Source organism: Homo sapiens, chromosome 6 (assembly GCF_000001405.40).
Source record: "Homo sapiens chromosome 6, GRCh38.p14 Primary Assembly".
NCBI classification, from domain to species: Eukaryota; Metazoa; Chordata; class Mammalia; order Primates; family Hominidae; genus Homo; species Homo sapiens.
The window spans coordinates 60,564,665-60,586,300 of NC_000006.12; the positions used below are offsets into that span (position 1 = coordinate 60,564,665).

General features: G+C 37.5%; 1 annotated feature.

Annotated features, from left to right (window-relative positions):
* Positions 5,867–6,368: an enhancer, noted in NCBI's record as "NANOG hESC enhancer chr6:57538278-57538779 (GRCh37/hg19 assembly coordinates)". NCBI's record gives its function as "activates a minimal SCP1, AML or CMV promoter by ChIP-STARR-seq in naive H9 embryonic stem cells {active_cell/tissue: H9 hESC(naive)}" and the evidence as "EXISTENCE:reporter gene assay evidence [ECO:0000049][PMID:30033119]".

Consider the following 21,636-nt stretch of genomic DNA (forward strand, 5'->3'; position numbering starts at 1 on the left):
AGGAAGGTAACTGTCATGTGTATTTTCTCCTTTAGTTAATAACATATTTGTGCATTATACACTTGTACTAATAAAATATCTTCATTTCCTTTTCCTTTATCATGTGACATGAGATTTATTGACTTCCTATCAGCATTTAAGTATCGTTAACTTTATATAATAGTATTTGGGTTGGGTGTTGGTGCATTTCCAGTTGTATGAAGGATGGTTGTATTATGTTAGTGTAGTTATGACCTCATTATTGTCTTTCTTTGAGATTGTGTATGACCTCAGGAGATGTGTATGGGTTCAAGTTGACAAGGGGTGGACTTTTGATGGTTAATACTTAGTGTCAACTTGATTGGATTGAAGGATGCAAAGTATTGATCCTAGGTGTGTCTGTGAGGATGTTGCAAAAGGAGATTAACACTTTAGTCAGTGGGCTGGAGAAGGCAGATCCACCCTTAATCTGGTGGGCACAATCTAATCAGCTACCAATGAATATAAAGCAGGCAGAAAAACGTGAAAAGGTGAGATTGGCCTAGCCCCCCCCAGCCTACGTCTTTCTCCTGTGCTGGACGCTTCCTGCCCTCAAACATTGGACTCCAAGTTCTTCAGTTTTGGGACTAGGACTGGCTCTCCTGGCTCCTCAAGCTTGCAGATGGCCTATTGTGGGACCTTGTGATTTATTAAGACTTAATAAACTCATATATATATATTTATATAAATATATAAAATATATATTTTATATATATTTATATAAAAATATATATAAAATATATATTTATATATATTTATATAAATATATATAAAATATATATTTTATATATTTTTATATATGTATAAAAATATATAAAATATATTTATATTATATATTTATATATATAAATATATATATTTATTTATAAATAAATATATATATTTATTTATAAATAAATATATATATTTATTTATATTATATATATATTTATTTATATTATATATATATTTATTTATATTATATATATATTTATTTATATATAAAATATATATATTTATTTATATATGATATTTATTTATATAACTTTTATGTATAAATTTTTTATATAAAATATATTTATATATTATATATTTATAAAATATATTTATATATTATATATTTATAAAATATATTTATATATTATATATTTATAAAATATATTTATATATTATGTATTTATAAAATATATTTATATATTATGTATTTATAAAATATATTTATATATTTATATTTATATCTTGTATATAAATACATATATAAATATATATGTATTTATATACAAGATATAAATATATATGTATTTATATACAAGATATAAATATATATGTATTTATATACAAGATATAAATATATATGTATTTATATACTAGATATAAATATATATGTATTTATATACTAGATATAAATATATATTTATATACTAGATATAAATATATATTTATATACTATATATAAATATATATGTATTTATATACTATATATAAATATATATGTATTTATATACTAGATATAAATATATATGTATTTATATACTAGATATAAATACATATCTTTTATTTATATTTATATATGTATTTATATATAAATACATATATAAATATATATATAAATATATATAAAAATATATGTAGGATCTCAAGAGATGTCTACGGGTTCAAGTTGACAAGCGGTGGACTTGTGATGGTTAATACTGAGTGTCAACTTGATTGGATTGAAGGATGCATAGTATTGATGCAAAGTATTGATCCAAGATATATATATATGTATCTCCTATTAGTTCTGTCCCCGTAGGGAACCCTAATACACAGTTTTATCACCTTCTAAATAGATTCAGAACCTTCTTACTTCAAACTGTCTCCACAGCCACGCCCCTAGCTCAAACCACTATTGTCTCCACCTGGATGATTGCAGAAGCCTCCCTGCTGGTTTCCCTGCTCCTGTCCCTTACAATCTGTTCTGAACAGAGCAGCCAGAGTGATCCCATCAAAACTTAAGTCTGATCATGTCCACTCCTCTGGTCAAAACCCTCTGATGGCATCCTGACTTGCTCAGGATAAAATTGGAAGTTTCTACAATGATCTACAGGGTCTAGGTACCTATGACCTCTCTGGCTTCATCTCCTTTTTATCTACCTTGCTTATTCTGATGTAGTTACATAGGCCTCTTTATCATTCTTGGAACATAATAGGCAAACCCCTCCTTTGCACTTGCTCTTCCCTTTGTCTGGAACTGGCTTTCTCCCAGGTAATCCACACAGCTTCCTCCCTCACTTAAAGTCTTTGCTCAAATTCACTCCATCATAAAAGCCTATGTTGAACACCCTGTAAGTCAGCATCCCTGCCTAGAATATCCTTATCCTTTATTCTAGCAGCTATCACCATCATTTCATTTTTAGGCTCTCAGAACAGAGACTTTGCTCTGTTCACTACTGTAAGCCCAGTACCTAGTACAGTGCTTAATCTAGGAGATTCTTTTTTTTTTGAGATGGAGTCTTGCCCTGTCGCCCAGGCTGGAGTGCAGTGGCGTGATCTCAGCTCACTGCAAACTCTGCCTCCCGGGTCCAAGCAATTAATTCTCTGCCTCAGCCTCCTGAGTAGCTGGGATTACAGGTGCTTGCCACCAGGCATGGCTAATTTTTGTATTTTTAGTAGAGACAGGGTTTCACCATCTTGGCCAGGCTGGTCTTGAACTCCTGACCCTTGTGATCCACCCACCTTGGCCTCCCAAAGTGCTGGGATTATAGGTGTGAATGCCCGGCCAGTACCTAGGAGATTCTTAATACATATTTCCTGAATGAATGAATGGGCACTTAACTATGTTCCAGGCTCTGTGTTAAATTCCTTACATACATTTTCTCATTGAACCCTCAGAACAAAAAAATTGGCCTGTGTTGTTACATACTTTTAATGCTGAGGAGTAACTCTCTCCAAGTCACACAGACTGGAAGTACATCAAGATATGCTGGCTCTGAATCACTAAGCTTTATCACCATCTCTCCTACTTCTAATGAGAAGCTTATAAGGAATGTACAAAAAGATGACTAATGTTAGAGGGGCAGAAATAAGTTTCCTGAACTTTAGCTGTTCTTTCACAGTGAGGGAGGAAAAGGGAGGTGCCTAAATTGGCCAAGGGGTTGAAGCTTAAAGGAGGGGTTTCTTTAGAGAGATTTGGTGCCTGCCATAGTAGGGATAAAGAAATTTTCTCTCAAGGTTAATGTGAGAGTTTAATAAAAGGAATGTTTACAAAACTGTAGGAAGAGTGGAGGGAAACCACAAAGCATGCTTCTGTACCCTGGAACTCATATCAGCTGAGTGCTCCTAGGACTGGAAGAGTCACCGGGGTGGAGAATGGAGCTGGACAGGTGAGGGCAAGATATCCAGCAGAGCAAAGGAAGGAGGGACTTTGGGTTTCCCAAGTATCCAGACAGATTCAATTTGCCATGCCACATAAGACCTTGTGGTGGACACTTGCTGCAAGTACTTGGGACTCTCCTAAGGGGTTTTTCTGGCCTCAGGAGGAAGTCTGGGCATTTGCACAGCAGGTTGAAAGTGCCACGTGAATGAACACCCCAGGAGGCATCCTCACAAATGACAAACGTAAGTTGGTAGACAGTTATCCAAACTTCCTCTCTTTTTGAGTAGGACCACACTGTAGCTGGTTCTTGACCATCTCCCAGATCCTCCTGGCAGGATTGAGTTCCAGTTGCCTCCAGCAGTAATTTGCTTACCAACACACAACATGGCTTCTTTCCCTTTCCTGTTTCACTCCATCCCTCTCTCACTAGGTGTTTCTTGAGATCACCCCCCAAACAAATGGCTCTCAAATCCTAGTCTTAGGGCAAGGTGCATGGCTCATGCTTGTAATCCCAGCACTTTGGGATTACAAAGTGGGCTGATCACTTGAGGTCAGGAGTTTGAGACCAGCCTGGCCAACATAGTGGCCATCTCTACTAAAAGTACACAAATTAGCCGGGTGTGGTGGCATGCACCTGTAATCCCAGCTACTTGGGAGGCTGAGGCAGGAGAATCCCTTGAACCTGGGAGGCGGAGGTTGCAGTGAGCCAAGATCATGCCACTGCACTCCAGCCTAGGAGACAGAGTGATACTCTGTCTCAAAAACAACAACAACAGCAAAAAACCAAAATAAACAACCTTAGTCTTAGGATCCACTTTTGGGGAATTCAACCTAACAGTGAACTTGACAAAAACCTATGACAAACTGGAGTTTAGGAATAGTAAACATTCAAACAGATTTTCAAGTTAGGCCACTGGTATAATTTTGGAGACTGCAGGGCAAATTTTCCTATTGATCTGCAAAAAGCAATGGAAATCATAGGCTTTATGTCCTTGGATTCTTTGAGTGGTATTGGGAGGCAGAGGAAGGAGGGGAACAAATGGTTATTAATCCCAGGTTTACCAAATACATTGTCAGGCTGCGCAACTTGCAGGTGGTCTTGCCTGTTGTCTGGGAGGAGTGACTGAACAGCGTTCTCCCAGGCTGTCTGTGTTCTCAGTCAACTGAGTGAGGCTAAGACATGAGAAATGAAGAGCTCCAACTTTGTTTGGGTGGAATTCATTCATTCATCCATTCAATGAATATGGACTAAACATGACAAAATGCCACGTAAGATGCTAATTATCATGCAAGTTACATTCACTAACACCACCTTAGAAAATAAACTCATGAGAATAATTAAGTTCGAATACAATAGACTAGAAAATAATCAAATTTAACCATTTATTTTCTAGGATGTTTTCTACAAGACATTATTTAGGCAAACTTTTGACTGCTAAGGCCATTCTACACATTGTAAATGAAAACAATTTTATTGTTATAGATGTTATAAATACACATACTTAAGAAGTTAAATTTTCTCTTTACTAAAATTCTATTAGTCTGTAAAACCATTTTGTAAGGACCAAAAATATATTTATATATCACAATTTTAGTTACACTTCATCAAATTCCTATTCATCTGTATAAGTCACATATCTTTTTTCATCTTAATATTTTATCCTCTGGTTAAACAAACAAACCAAACTTTTCAGCTTAGCTCTTTAAATTGTAAACCATCTTTCTTTTTTAACTATAGCATATATGGTTCAGTAAAATCATATTGTACCTCTCTTAGTAGGTAAATTTTATGTACAGACTGTTGTTTCTAAAATATATTTTACCATTTCTTAAGTTTCCATTTGTAAGTGTAAGGTGTTTGCCTAATTTGAAGAAATTAGCTTTTCTCTCCAAAATTTATTATCTGAGCTCCCTATAATTTTTCAACATACCATCTTTTATTTTAGACATACATTTAAAGCACAGATTTCATCATAATTACAGAATTAAAATAACTTTTAAATATATAGACATGCTTTTTTTCTCCTCATAGAAAGTCCACTTCTATGGTATTAACTTTTTTATATTTACTATCATGAGGTGAACTATTGAATTTCATGTTAGATTTTCACTGGGCTGACTGATACTTAAGCTATTGTAGTTTATATCTTGAATCTCATTGTTTTACCTATACACTATATGTAAATATGTTTTTTATACACACATACACATATACAGACACGCAATGTTTTTAACTTCATTTTCAATTGTTTCTTTTTATCTCTCTGATGTTCATTCTTCAGAAGTCCTCTCCTTCCTTATCTTGTAGGTATGCTTTATTTACGAGTTTTTCTCAGGGGTAGGTATGCTTTATTTACGAGTTTGACTGTTTTGGTTAGCATTTGTAGTGCTGATGTGTAATGTGTTATGTTAATCTACTTAGGTAAAAATTGTGTCACGTCCTTCCTGGGAAAGTCAACTGGGGCTCAGTGGAGAAGATGCGGGAATGTGTGAGAGGTGGCAGTGGCCCACATGCTCATTCTCCTTCTGAAATGTAATTTACTCTGGTTTTGGGTAAGTTACATCAGCTTTTCTTGAAAATACAAAGCTGCTTGATCATAGTTGAAGGCAAATAACTGAGTTGAATTTGTAGTTTCGCCACTGGAATTAACCTTGGGCAGGCAACAGAAGCACATCTCTCCACTTTGTTTTGGCAGCATGAGGAATGAGAATAATAATGCTGCCTACTTTATGAGGAGAGCCTTAATGCATTGTACTTCTGTAGAACATTGCAAGATCCTGCCGCAAGGGGTGCTGGGAGGGCCTGGATGCTATAGAAATCTAAATGCCATTATTCTTGGTATTTCAAAGCTATTCTCTCAGGGTCATAGCAGTCTCTCACCAGTGGGCTATTGAATTATTGTTATTGTTATGAATAAGAACTGGAATCTAGTCAGAAGAAACTGGAAATCTTAAGTTTTTATTGCTGCCCCAGACCTGAGCTTTTTGTATACATATGTGATTCTCTAAGATTAATTAGCTTAGTTGTTCCACATAAAAACAAAAACAGACTGGAAATGATTTCTGCTGCATCTCCAACAAAACAGGATATCAGCACCCAGACATCCAGAATGCGGACAAGGCCAGCAGGAGAGGGAAGAGGATGATGATGGCAAGATGGACATCCAGCCCCATTCTGGGAGATTTCATTATGGATGTGGGTTGTAACAGGAACAGTAGCATATGATGAATGTCAGTCATAAATCAGGCTGTTTGAAGATTGTCACTGTTGGCCTGGAGAGTCAGATTATTCTCACTGGGACTCCTGGAAAGTCTTTCTGTACTTCTGTATCTACTGCTGATCAAATTAGAAGGAAGTAGTACAACGGATGTATAAATATAATTCAGCCTCCCACCTCTACCTCCAAATGGTTTTCTGCTCTGCAGGAGCCTCTTCTCCGGTTTCCCTACTGCCAGCCTTTCTCAGGCTCTTCCATCCGCTGTGCTACTGCCAGAATATTTTTCTCCTGGGAACAAAATCGGAATTTCTCTCTCTCTCTTGCTTGAAAACCTCTCAATTCCCAGATGTTGCCCACAAGACTCATTCCAAATTCCTCTGGCAGGAATATAAGGCCAGTTACAATTTGGCCTCAAGCTGACTCATTCCTTTTATTCCTGGCCACTGTAATCCTATGCTTTAAATTCCAGCTTCAGGAAATTTTTTTAGCACTTCTTTATACAGCAGGGCCCTTTGGTCTGCCTTTACCCAAACTGTTCCCTTCACCTGAAAACGCTGTCTGCCCAAAGCCACCTTGTGGACACTCATCCTTCTGCATCCTGCTCAAAGGCTGTGCACCCTTCCTTGGAACCTTTCTCTCTCTGGTCTCCCCAGCCCTGAGTACATCCCCTCTCTACCAACCACAGAGTTAAAGTTACCTCTGCTTTTGTGAGGGTAAGAAGTATACTTCTCACTTTTTTTTTTTTTTGAGACACATTCTCGCTTTGCCATGCAGGCTGTAGTATAGTGGCATGATTACAGCTTACTGTAGCCTCAACCTCCCAGTCTCAAGCAGTCCTCCCACCTCAACCTCCTGAGTAGTTGGGACTATAGGCACATGCCACCAGGCTTGGTCAATTTTTGTATTTTTTATAGAGATGAGCTTTTGCCCAGGCTGGATTCAAACTCCTGGGCTCAAGTGATCCTCCTGCCTGGGCCTCCCAGTGTGCTGGGATTATAGGTGTGAACCACTGTGCCCAGCGCTTTTCACTGTCTTACCCCCACCTCTTTAATCCTAGAGACTGGCATTTGTATTTCTGAATGAGTGGACTATATCTCAGGTTTTCCTTTTATAGGCATACTGTAAAGCGGCATTCTAAAGCCTTATGGGAGATGTACCTTCTAAAACTGAGCTTGAGCATATTTTTGTCTTAGGTGATGAGATTAGTGGAGATGCTGGGCTCTCGTGTAGTCCTGCCACACACAGACAGGGTCCCAGTGGATTCATGTCTTGTCTCACTGAATCTCATGCAAGGCAGGCTACGTTAAGGCAAGGCTCTGATCAGGAGATGCTCAACCCATGTTGTCACAGGGTGCTACAGGTGGAAGGGCCTCATAGAGGTCACCAGTCTCACCTTAGTTTACTAGAAAAAGAGACTGAAGCTAAAAAAATTGAGCGATGCTCAAGGAAACACAATAAGCTATTATCATAACTGAAATTTGCACCTGAGTGCCCCCACACTCCAGTGGCAGGCCATTGCTCTTTATGTCCAGCCCTGCCTCTGCTGTGGTACTTTCTCAGCCACTCAGCAACCACAGGGGGGCAGGCAGAGACCAACAAGCTAAGACTCTCTTACTCCAAATGGGAACAAGTGGATATGGAAACTTGACCATGGTATTTTTTTCTAAACTGTGGCTCTGTCACAGCAGGCTGACACCTCTTCCTCTTCTCCTTTTGGTTAGCTGCTCTGACCTACTTAGACCAAAGGAATCTGAGTCTTTCCTTTGTCCCTACTCTTCTGTCTACCCCTGGGTTCTTACATATGCTTTCTCTAGTTTGGTTTTGCCTCTTCTCCATCTCACTACTCCTTGCTCCCTTAGCATCTGGGTATATCAGGAACAAGGATTTAATATGTGTGTGTGTGTGTGTGTGTGTGTGCGTGTGTGTATATATGTGTATTTCCTAATGCTTATTCAGGAAAGGTCATTACATTAAAGGTTTAAGGAGGCAAAGTACAAAGGAAATCCAACAATCTATAATAAGCATCCTGTGTAACTTTCACATTGGATATTCATGTATGCATTTGTATATGTATAGAAATTTTGAATAGGGGTATTTATGCCAACAAATGGGTAAATGAGGTATGAAATAAGATTGGGAGTGGAGGGAGATGTTGAACTAGAAGATACCTAACAATGTTTTAAGGAAAAAATTTTGTGATTCTTTTAAGTGATGGAATCCAGTAGGAAAAAGCCTAAAAGTTTTCACTAGAGATGTTTGATGGTTTTTCTTTTGGTTAAAATGGAAATAAAAACTAGGCCAAACACTGTTTTTGTGGGAGTGGGGTGGTACATGAGCTTGGGGTGTTTATCAGTTTTATTCATGGCAGTGACAAGTTCCCTCTCCTCTCTTATAAACACTCCCTACACTCATTTATTAGCATAACATAAAGGACCTCCAGTGAAAGCTTGCCCTTTGGTCTCTGACATAGAGAGATCATCACAGCACTCCTCCACACAGAGGGTACACTTAATACACACTGAGATCCTTGATTGTCTTCCTTGGTCCTCATCAGGGTCCAGCATTAAAGGCAATTGAACACATTTCCAGAGTGTGCCTTCCAGTGTCCAAAATTAGTGTCACAACTAAGTTTACATTTGTGACAAGATAAAATGTTACAGGATTTATAATAATTCATTATAATTACGTACAGCTAATATCTTCAGACAAATTGGCTAAGACGTGTTTAAAGAGTTCAAAAGGAAAACAGAAAAAACTCAACTTTAAGAACATAAAATAGTCCCATAATTTACACAAGATTACACAATTGATAAATGCTTAATAGAAATTAGAAATGTCCTTTGAATATTAAAATATTCTTTAAAAGTTTAATTATAGCCCTATAAGAGAACATATATGAGAATGGTTAAAAAATATCTTAAAATTTCAGAGATAGGCAAAAATGCAAACAGAGCTTAAGAACACTTCTAAAGACATTAAAAAAGGCACTAAGAGTTCAACAATCTGATTATTTGATTTGAGCATCAGGTGAATGGGTTTTAGGAAGAAAGGCAAGAATGAAAAACTCAAGTGTACAGATGAAAAGCTGTGAATGTAATGCTACTTACATTTGACATTTCTTTCTTTTCTTTTTTTTTTTTTTAGATGGTGTCTTGCTCTGTCACCCAGGCTAGAGTGCAGTGGTGCGATCTCAGCTCACTGCAGCCTCCTCCTCCCGGGTTCAAGTGATTCTCATGCTTCAGCCTCCCAAGTAGATAGGATTACAGCGTGTGCCACCATGTCTGGCTAATTTTTGTATTTGTAGTGGAGATGGGGTTTTCATCATGTTGGCCAGGCTGGTCTTGAACTCCTGACCTCAGGTTATCTGTCTCCTTGGCCACCCAAAGAGCTGAGATTACAGGCATGAGCCACTGCGCCTGGGCATATTTGGCATTTCTTTTGATAATTCTTTTGCTTGTCTTCCATCTGTCCCCCCTTTCATTTCTCAACAGGCAATATCAAACCTTCAATATCCTCTATGCCTCTACCAAATTCCAGTGGTTGTAGTAGGAAAAAAAAAAACCGCCCCCTAAAAATGTCCACATTATAATCCCTGATCATGTGAATGTGTTAGGTTATGTTATAGCAAAAGGGAATTAAAGTTGTAGATAGAATTAAGGCTGCTAATCACGTGACTTTGAAAAGGGGAGACTGATCCTTATAAGTGGAAGAGGGAGACACATGAGACAAAACCACAGAGACGGCAATATGAGAAGGCCTTGGCCTCATGTTACTGGCTGTGAAGATGGAGAAATGGGGTCATGAGTCAAGAAATGTGGGTAGCTCTGAAGTTGGAAAGGCAAGAACACAGATTCTGTCCCAGATCCCCAATGAGGAGATTCAGACTTGCCAACACCTTGCTTTAAACCCAGTGAGATCCATGACAAATTTCTCACCTATAGACCTGTAAGATAATAAATGTATTGTTTCAAGTCACTACGTTTGTGGCAACTTGTTAGAGTAGCAAAAGGAAATAAATATAGTGGTCTTCAAATATTTTTGCTAAGATAATGCAAAAAAAATTTTATTTTTTGAGACAGGGTCTTGCTCTGTCACCCAGGCTGGTACGCAGTGGTGCAATTTTGGCTTCCTGCAACCTCTACATCCTGCTCCAGTGACCCTCCTACCTTAGCCTCTTGAATAACTGCAATTATAGGTGTGCACCACCATGTCTGGCTTTTTTTTTTTTTTTTTTTTTGTAGAGATGAGGCTTTACCGTGTTGCCCAGGCATCAAAGAAATTTTGAACAAACACATACCTCTTCAAGTTTTCATGCAAACATCTAAAAATTTTTCAACATAAGTTTAAATAGTTGAAAAGGATGTGATTTTGGTGCATAGATATATTGTGTTTAAAACCTAAACCTAAAAGAAAAAGAATAAGAAGGAATAAAAAAGCCTTACAAGATTTATAAACCAGCATCAAAGGAACAAATATTTGAGCTACAGGAATTAAAGAAGAAGAGAGAAACAAAGGGTTAGAAAACTTATTTAAAGAAATAATAGCAGAACACATTTCAAACTTGGAGATACAAATATCTAGGAACAGGAAGGTCAAAAATGTCCAATCAGGCCGGGCGCAGTGGCTCACACCTGTAATCCCAGCACTTTGGGAGGCCAATGTGGGTGGATCACGAGGTCAGGAGATCAAGACCATCCTGGCTAACATGGTGAAACCCCGTCTCTACTAAAAATACAAAAAATTAGCTGGGCGTGGTGGTGGGTGCCTGTAGTTCCAGCTACTCAGGAGGCTGAGGCAGGAGAATGGCATGAACCTGGGAGGTGGAGCTTGCAGTTGAGCCGAGATCACACCATCGCACTCCAGCCTGGGTGACAGAGAGAGACTCTATCTCAAAAAAAAAAAAAAAAAAAGTCCAATCAGATTTAATCCAATTCCAAGACCACACCAAGATATATTAAAATTGAATTGTAAAATATCAAAGACAAAAGAGAGGATCCTGAAAGCAGCAAGAGAAAACAAGCAAGTCACATATAAAGGAGGTTCAATAAAGCTAGCAACAAACAGACTTCTCAACAGAAGCCTTACAAGCCAGGATAGAGGAAGATGATATATTCTGAGTGCTTAAGAAAAAAAAGAAAAAAAAAACCTGTCAACCAAGAATACTGCACCCAGCAAAGCTGTCCTTCAGAAATGAAGGATAAAAGCCTTTCTCAGACAGACAAAAGCTGAGGGAGTTCATCACCCCAGACCAGTCTTAAGAAATGTTAAAGTGACTAATTAGCATTCTTTTCTTCCAGTTTAAAGAACACGAGAAAAGTAAGTCCTTACCTGCCAGTAATTACCTGGCATATCAAATCAAAAGACACAGGGTGACTTAGTAGATTAAAAAAAGGACCCAACTATATGCTACTTACAAGAGAATCAGTTCAACCTTAAATGCACACATAGACTGAAGCAAAGGGATAGAAAAAGATATTCTATGCAAATAGAAACCAAAAGAGAGCAGTAGTTATACACATATCAGATAAAACAGAGGGTTAAAAGCTGTAAAATGAAACAAAGGAGGTTATTATATAATGATAAAGGGGTCAATTCAGGAAGAGCATATAACAATTATAAATATATATACAGCCAACATCAGAACACCTAAATATATAAAGCAAATATTAATAGATCTGAAGGGAGAGAGAGATTTTTATAAAATAGTAACAGACATCAACAACCCACTTTCAGCAATGAATAGATTATCCAGCCACAAGAAATTAATATAGAAACATTGAAAGTAAATGACCCTATAGACCAAATGGACCTAAAAGACATATACAGAACACTGCATCCAACAGCTGCAGAATACACATTCTTCTTAATTGGCATGGCACATTCTCCAGGATAGATCAGATAGATCATATGGTAGGCCACAAAATAAGTCTTAATAAATTTAAAGATTGAAATTGTATCAAGCATCTTTTCTGACCACACTGGTATAAAACTAGAAATAAGTAACAGAAGTTTTGGAAAATTCAAAAATTAATCAATATGCTCCTGAATAACCAATGGGTCAAAGAAGAAATTGAAAGGGAAATTAAAAAAACATCGAGATAAGTGAAAATAAATGAACAATATATAAAAGCTTCTGAAATACAGCAAAAGCAGTTCTGAAAGGGAAGTCTATCGCAATGAATGCCTACATCAAAAAAGAAGAAAAATCTCCAAAAAACTACACTACACCTCAAGGAACTAGAAAAAGGAGAACAAACTAAGCTCCAAAATTAGTCAAAGGAAGGAAATAATGATCAGAGCAGAAATAAATAAAATAGAGACTAGAAAAACAATAGAAAAGATCAATGAACATAAAAGCTAATTTCTTAATCCTTTCCCCATCTGCCTCAAGAAAATTTGCCAGCGGTGCTTGCAGCTGCAGAGTTTATCCAGAAATAACTGCCATGACATATCTTGCTTTGTTATTTTTGCATTACTGTAGTATATCAACTTTGGAAACAAAAGACATCATCCTATTTTAGCAGTGATTTTCCATTTACAAAATATGGTAATGCTCAATTGCTGAAAATGTCTAATCCTAGAAAACATAGCATTACTACACATGATGTTAGTGTCATTTTCAGTTTTTATTTGATGAATCAGATTTTTCTAAAATAGATGATTCTGATGATTCAGAAGATTCTGATGTTAGTTCTGTTTAGAAATAACTCCAAGAAAAGTTTTTGTATTTCATTTTCACATTGAAAATTAGTCAGATTTACTTCAGCCTCAAAGAGGGTACTTATGTAAAATTAAATGAGTGCTGGTAGCAAGTGGTACTTTTTTTTCCTAATTGAGCAAAGGGTTAAAAACAGAAGCAAAGTTGACAAATCTTTAGCAAGATTAAGAAAAAAAAACCTGAGGACTCAAAATGAGTAAGAGGGAGAGATCACAACTGATATCACAGAAATACAAAAAATTATAAAAGACTACTCTGTATAATTATATCTCAACAGATTAGATAGCCTAAAAGGAATGAATAAATTCTTACACACATTCAACCTACCATGAAATAGAAAAACTGAACAGATCAATAACAAGTAAGACTGAATCAGTAATAGAAAGTGTTCCCTCAATGAAAAGCCCATACCTTGATGGATTCCTAACTGAATTCTGACAATCACTTGAAGAAAACCTAATTCCAATCCTTCTCAAACTCTTCCAAAATATTGAAGAAGAGGAAATATTTCCAAACTTTTTACAAGGCTAGCATCACCCTGATACTAAGGCTGGACAAGGATACTACAAACAATAAAATTACAGGTCAATATCTCCGATGAACATGAATGTGAACATTCTTAACAAAATACTAGCAAATCATATTCAACAGCACATTAAAAGGTTCATTCACCTTGAGCAAGTGAGATTTAAACTAGGAATATAAGGATGGTTCAACACATGCAAATAATAAATATGGTACATCAGGAGAGCTGGCAAGATGGCCAAATAGGAACAGTTCTGGTCTGCAGCTCCCAGCGAGATTGATGCAGAAGGTGAGTGATTTCTGCATTTCCAACTGAGGTACCCAGTTCATCTCACTGGGACTGGTGGGACAGTGGGTGCAGCCCATGGAGGGCAAGCTGAAGCAGGGTGGGCTGTGGCCTCACCCGGGAAGCTCAAGGTGTTGGGGGATTTCCCTTCCCTAGTCAAGGGAACTTGTGAGAGACTGTATCAGGAGGAATGGTACAATCTGGCCCAGATACTGTGCTTTTCCCATGGTCTTCGCAACTAGCAGACCAGGAGATTCCCTCTGGTGCCTGGCTTGGTGGGTACCACCCTCACAGAGCCTAGCAAGCTAAGATCCACTGGCTTGAAATTCTTGCTGCTAGCATAGCAGTCTGATGTGGAACTGGGATGCTCAAGCTTGGTGGGGGGAGGGGCACCTGCCAATGCTGAAGCTTGAGTAGGCTGTTTTACCCTCACAGTGTAAACAAAGCTGCTGGGAAGTTTGAACTGGGTAGAGACCACTGCAGCTCAGCAAGACCAACTGCCTCTCTAGATTCCTCCTCTCTAGGCAGGGCATCTCTGAAAAAAAGGCAGCAGCCCCAGTCAGGGACTTATAGATAAAACCCCCATCTCCCTGGGACAGAGCACATGGGGGAAGGAGCGGCTGTGGGCACAGCTTCAGCAGACTTAAACATCCCTGCCTGATAGCTCTGAAGAGAGCAGTGGATCTCCTAGCACAGCGTTCAAGCTCTGATAAGGAACAGACTGCCTCCTCAAGTGAGTCCCTGACCTCTGTGTATCCTGACTGGGAGACACCTCCTAGTAGGGACCAAAAGACCCCATATACAGGAGAATTCTGGCTGGCATCTAGCAGGTGCCCCTCTGGGATGAAGCTTCCAGAGGAAGGAACAGGCAGCAATCTTTGCTGTTCTTCAGGCTCTGCTGGTGATACGTAGGCAAACAGGGTCTGAAATGGACCCCCAGCAAACTCCAGCAGACCTGCAGCAGAGGAGCCTGACTGTTAGAAGGAAAACTAACAGAAGGGAATAGTAACATCAACATCAACAAAAAGGATGTCCACTCAGAGACCCCATCCAAAGGTCACCAATATCAAAGACCAAAGATAGGTAAATCCATGAAGATGGGGAGAAACCAGTGCAAAAAAGCTGAAAATTCCAAAAACCAGAATGCCTTTTCTCCTCCAAAGGATCACAACTTGCCAGCAAGGGAACAAAACTGGATGGAGAATGAGTTTGACAAATTGCCAGAAGTAGGCTTCAGAAGGTGGGTAATAACAACCTCCTCCGAGCTAAAGGAGCATGTTCTAACCCGAAGCAAGGAAGCTAAGCACCTTGAAAAAAAGGTTAGAGGAATTGCTAACTAGAATAACCAGTTTAGAGAAGAACATAAATGACCTGATGGAGCTGAAAAACACAGCATGAGAACTTCGTGAAGCATACACAAGTATCAACAGGTGAATTGATCAAGTGGAAGAAAGGATATAAGAGAGTGAAGATCAACTCAATGAAATAAAATGAGAAGACAGGATTAGAGAAAAAAAGAGTGAAAAGAAATGAACAGAGCCTCCAAGAAATAAGGTCTATGTGAAAAGACCAAATCTATGTTTGATTGGTGTTCCTGAAAGTGATGGGGAGAATGGAACCAAGTTGGAAAACACACTTCAGGATATTATCCAGGAGAAGGGCTTCCCCAACCTAGTAAGGCAGGCCAACATTCAAATTCAGGAAATACAGAGAACACCACAAAGATACTCCTTGAGAAAAGCAACCCCAAGACTCATAATTGTCAGATTCACCAAGGTTGAAATGAAGGAAAAAATGGTAAGGGCAGCCAGAGAGAAAGGTCAGGTTACCCACAAAGGGAAGCCCGTTAGACTAACAGTGGATCTCTTGGCAGCAACCCTACAATCAAGAAGAGAGTGGGGGCAATATTCAACATTCTTAAAGAAAAGAATTTTCAACCCAGATTTTCAACCTAGCCAAACTAATCTTCATAAGCCAAGAAGAAATAAAATCTTTAACAGACAAGCAAATGCTGAGAGATTTTGTCACCACCAGGACTGCCTTACAGGAGCTCCTGAAGGATGCACTAAACATGGAAAGGAACAGCTGGTACCAGCCACTGCAAAAACATACCAAATTGTAAAGACCATCAACACCATGAAGAAACTGCATCAACTAATGGGCAAAATAACCAGCTAGCATCATGATGACAGGATCATATTCACACATAACAGTATTAATCTGAAATGTAAAGGGGCTACATGCCCCAATTAAAAGACACAGACTGGTAAATTGGATAAACAGTCAAGACTCCTCGGTGTGCTGTATTCAGGAGACCCATCTCATATGCAAAGACACACATAGGCTCAAGATAAAGGGATGGAGGAATATTTACCAAGTAAATGGAAAGCAAACAAAACAAAACAAAACAAAACAAAAGCAGGGGTTGCAATCCTAGTCTCTGATAAAACAGACTTTAAACCAACAAAGATAAAAAAAAAAAAAAAAGCCCAAGAAGGGCATTACCTAATGGTAGAGTGATCAATGCAACAAGAAGAGCTAACTATCCTAAATATATATGCACCAAATACAGGAGCACCCAGATTCATAAAGCAAGTTCTTAGAGATCTACAAAAAGACTTAGACTCCTACACAATAATAGTGGGAGACTTTAACATCCCACTGTCACTATTAGACAGATCAATGAGACAGAAAATTAATAAGGATATCCAGGACTTGAACTTAGCTCTGGACCAACTGGACCTAACAGACATCTATAGAACTCTCCACCCCAACTCAACAGAATATACATTCTTCTCAACATCACATTGCACTTATTCTAAAATTGACTACATAATTGGAAGTAAAACACTCCTCAGCAAATGCAAAAGAACGGAAATCATAACAAACAGTCTCTCAGACCACAGTCCAATTAAATTAGAACCCAGGATTAAGAAACTCACTCAAAACCACAAAACTACATGGAAACAACAACCTGCTCCTGAATGGCTATTGGATAAATAACAAAATTAAGGCATAAATAAAGATGTTTTTCAAAACCAATGAGAACAAAGACACAACATACCAGAATCTCTGGGATACAGCGAAAGCAGTGTGCAAAGGGAAATTTATGGCACTGAATGCCCACAAAAGAAAGCAGCAAAGATCTAAAATTGACAGCCTAGCATTAAAATGGAAAGAACTAGAGAAGCAAGAGCAAACAAATTCAAAAGCTAGCAGAAGACAAGAAATAGCTAAGATCAGAGCAGAATTGAAGGAGATAGAGACACAAAAACCCCTTCAAAAAAATCAGTGAACTAGGAGCTGGTTTTTTGAAAAGATCAGCAAAATAGATAGACTGCTAGCCAGACTAAGAAGAAAAGAGAGAAGAATCAAATAGATGCAATAAAAAAAAGATAAAGGGGATATCACCACTGATCCCACAAAAATACAAGGTACCATCAGAGAATACATAAAAACCTCTACACAAATAAACTAGAAAATGTAGAAAAAATGGGTAAATTCCTGGACACATACACCCTCCCAAGAATATACCAGGAAGAAGTCAAATCCCTGAATAAACCAATAACTAGTTCTGAAATTGAGGCAGCAATTAATAGCCTACCAACCAAAAAAAAGTCCAGGACCAGACGGATTCATAGCTGAATTCTACCGGAGGCACAACGAGGAGCTGGTACCATTCCTTCTGAAACTATTCCAAACAATAGAAAAAGACAGAATCCTCCCTAACTCATTTTATGAGGCCAGCATCATCCGATAACAAAACCTGGCAGAGATACAACAAAACAAGAAAATTGTATGCCAATATCAGTGATGAATATCGATGTGAAAATCCTCAAGAAAATACTGGCAAACTGAATGCAGCAGCACATCAAAAAGCTTATCCACCACAATCAAGTCGGCTTCATCCCTGGGGTGCAAGTCTGGTTCAACATACACAAATCAATAAACATAATCCATCACATAAACAGAACCAACTACAAAAACCACATGATTATCTCAATAGATGCAGAAAAGGCCTTCAATAAAATTCAACACCAATTCATGCTAGAAACTCTCAATTAACTAGGTATCGATGGAACATACTTCAAAATAATAAGAGACATTTAGGACCAACCCACAGCCGATATCATACTGAATGGGCAAAAACTGGAAGCATTCCCTTTGAAAACTGGCACAAGACAAGGATGCCCTCTCTCACCACTCCTATTCAACATAGTATTGGAAGTTCTGGCCGGGGCAATGAGGCAAGATAAAGAAATAAAGGGTATTCAATTTGGAAAAGAGGAAGTAAAATTGTCTCTGTTTGCAGATGACCTGATTGTATATTTAGAAAACCCCATCGTCTCAGCCCAAAATCTTAAGCTGATAAGCAACTTCAGCAAAGTCTCAGGATACAAAATCAAGGTGCAAAAAATCACAAGCATTCCTATATGCCAATAATAGATAAACAGAAGGCCAAATCATGAGTGAACTCCCATTCACAATTGCTACAAAGAGAATAAAATACCTAGGAGTACAACTTACAAGGGATGTGAAGGACCTCATCCAGGAGAACTACCAACCACTGCTCAAGGAAATAAGAGGACACAAACAAATGGAAAAACATTACATGCTCATGGATAAGAAGAATCAATATCATGAAAATGGCCATGGTGTCCAAAGTAATTTATAGATTCAATGCTATCCCCATCAAGCTACCATTGACTTTCTAAATAGAACTAGAAAAAACTACTTTAAATTTCATACGGAACTAAAAAAGAGCCCACATAGCCAAGACAATCCTAAGCAAAAAGAACAAAGCTGGAGACATCATGCTACCTGACTTCAAACTATACTACAATGCTACAGTAACCAAAACAGCATGGTACTTGAACAAAAAGAGATATACAGACCTATGGAACAGAATAGAGGCCTCAGAAATAACACCACACATCTACAACCATCTGGTCTTTGACAAACCTGACAAAAACAAGCAATGGGGAAAGGATTCCCTACTTAATAAATGGTGTTGGGAAAACTGGCTACCAGTATGCAGAAAGCCAAAACTGAATCCCTTCCTTATGCCTTATGCAAAAATTAACTCAAGATGGATTAAAGACTTCAATGTAACACCTAAAACCATAAAAACCCTAGAAGAAAACCTAGGCAATACATTTTAGGACATAGGCATGGGCAAAGACTTCATGACTAAAACACCAAATGGCAACAATGGCAGCAATGACAACAAAAGCCAAAATAGACAAATGGGATCTAATTAAACTAAAGAGCTTCTGCACAGCAAAGAAACTATCATCAGAGTGAACACGCAACCTACAGAAGGGAGAAAATTTTTGCAATCCATCCATCCGACAAAGGGCTAATATCCAGAATCTACAAAGAACTTAAACAAATTTACAAGAAAAAAACAACCCAATCAAAAAATAGGTGAAGGATATGAACAGACACTTCAAGAAAGTTATGCAACCAACAAACATATGAAAAAATGCTCATCATCACTGGTCATTAGAGAAATGCAAATCAAAACCACAATGAGATACCACCTCATGTCGGTTAGAATGGCGATCATTAAAAAGTCAGGAAACAACAGATGCTGGAGAGGATGTGGAGAAATAGGAATGCTTTTATATTGTTGCTGGGAGTGTAAATTAGTTCAACCATTGTGGAAGACAGTGTGGCAATTCCTCAATGATCTAGAACTAGAAATACCATTTGACCCAGCAATCACATTACTGGGTATATATCCAAAGGATTATAAATCATGCTACTATAAAGACACATGCACACTTATGTTTAATGTAGAAATATTCACAATAGCAAAGACGTGGAACCAACCCAAATGCCCATCAATGTACTGGATAAAGAAAACGTGGCATATATACACCATGGAATACTAAGCAGCCATAAAAAAGAATAAGTTCATGTTTTTTACAGGAACATGGATGGAGCTGGAAACCATCATTCTCAGCAAGCTAACACAGGAATAGAAAATGAAACACCACTTGTTCTCACTCATAAGTGGGAGTTGAACAATGAGAACACATGTGCACAAGGAGGGGAACATCTCACACTGAGGCCTGTCAGGGGATGGCAGGCAAGGGGAGGGATAGCATTAGGAGAAATACCTAATGTAGATGATGGGTTGATGGTTGCAGCAAAGCACTGTGGCACATGTATACATGTGTAACAAAACTGAACATTCTGCACATGTACCCCAGAACTTAAGGTATATAAAAAAAGAAAAAAGGTATAATAAAGAAATAATATACTTTATAATAAAGTATAATAAAAAAGAAAAAAATATTGTACATCACATTAACAGAACAGAATGAAGGTCAAAAAATATAATCTATAAAATATAATAGATGCAGCAAAAGCATTTGAAAAAATTCAACACCCTTTCATGGTAACTTTTAACAAAAAACTTTTAACAAGTTTAGAAGGAATGCACATCAACACAATAAAGACCACATTTGACAAGCCCATTGCAAACATTATACTCATTGGTGAAAAGTTGAAAGCTTTTCCTTTAAGATCAGGAACAAGAAAAGGATGCCTCTCATCATCTCTTTTCAACATACTATTGAACTTCTAGCCAGAGAAATTAGACAAGAGAAAGAAATAAAAGCATTCAAATTGGAAAAAAAGAAGGTAAATTGGATCTGTTTGCCAGTGAGATGATCTTATATATAGAGAACCCTAAGAATTCCCTTAAAAACTAATTAATTAGAATAAATTCAGTAAAGTTGCAGAATAGAAAAATCAACATACAAAGAATCAGTAGCATTTCTATACATTAGGAATGATCAATCCAAAAAAAAGGAAAAAGAAAAAAATCCTATTTGTGGTAGCTACCAAGAATAAAATACATAGAAATAAATTTACCCAAGGAGGTGACAGACATGTATACTGAAAACTCTAAAATACTGGTGAAATAAATTGATGAATACATAAATAAATGAAAAGATATCCCACATTCATGGAATTGAAGAATATTGTTAAAACATTCATACTATCCAAAGTGACCTACAGAGTCAATGCAATTTCTATCACAATTCCAATAACATTTTTCACAGAAATAGAAATAAATCCTAAAATTTATATGAAACCAGAAAAGACTCCTAATAATCAAAGTAATGTTGAGCAAAAAGAACAAAGCTTGACGTATTGTACTGTACTATCTGACTTAAGACTATACCACAAAGCCACAGTAATCAAAACAACATGGCACTGGCATAAAAACAGATACATAGACCAATGGAACACAACAGCAAGCAGAGAAATATAACTACACATTTACAGTCAATGGATTTTTAATAAAGGTGCCAAGAAGAAACAATGGGGAAACATAATATTTTCAATGAATGGTCTTAGAAAAACTGTATTTCCACATGCAGAAATATTTACAGTCAATGGATTTTTAATAAAGGTGCCAAGAAGAAACAATGGGGAAACATAATATTTTCAATGAATGGTCTTAGAAAAACTGTATTTCCACATGCAGAATAATTAAATTAGAAAAAAATATTACAGGCCC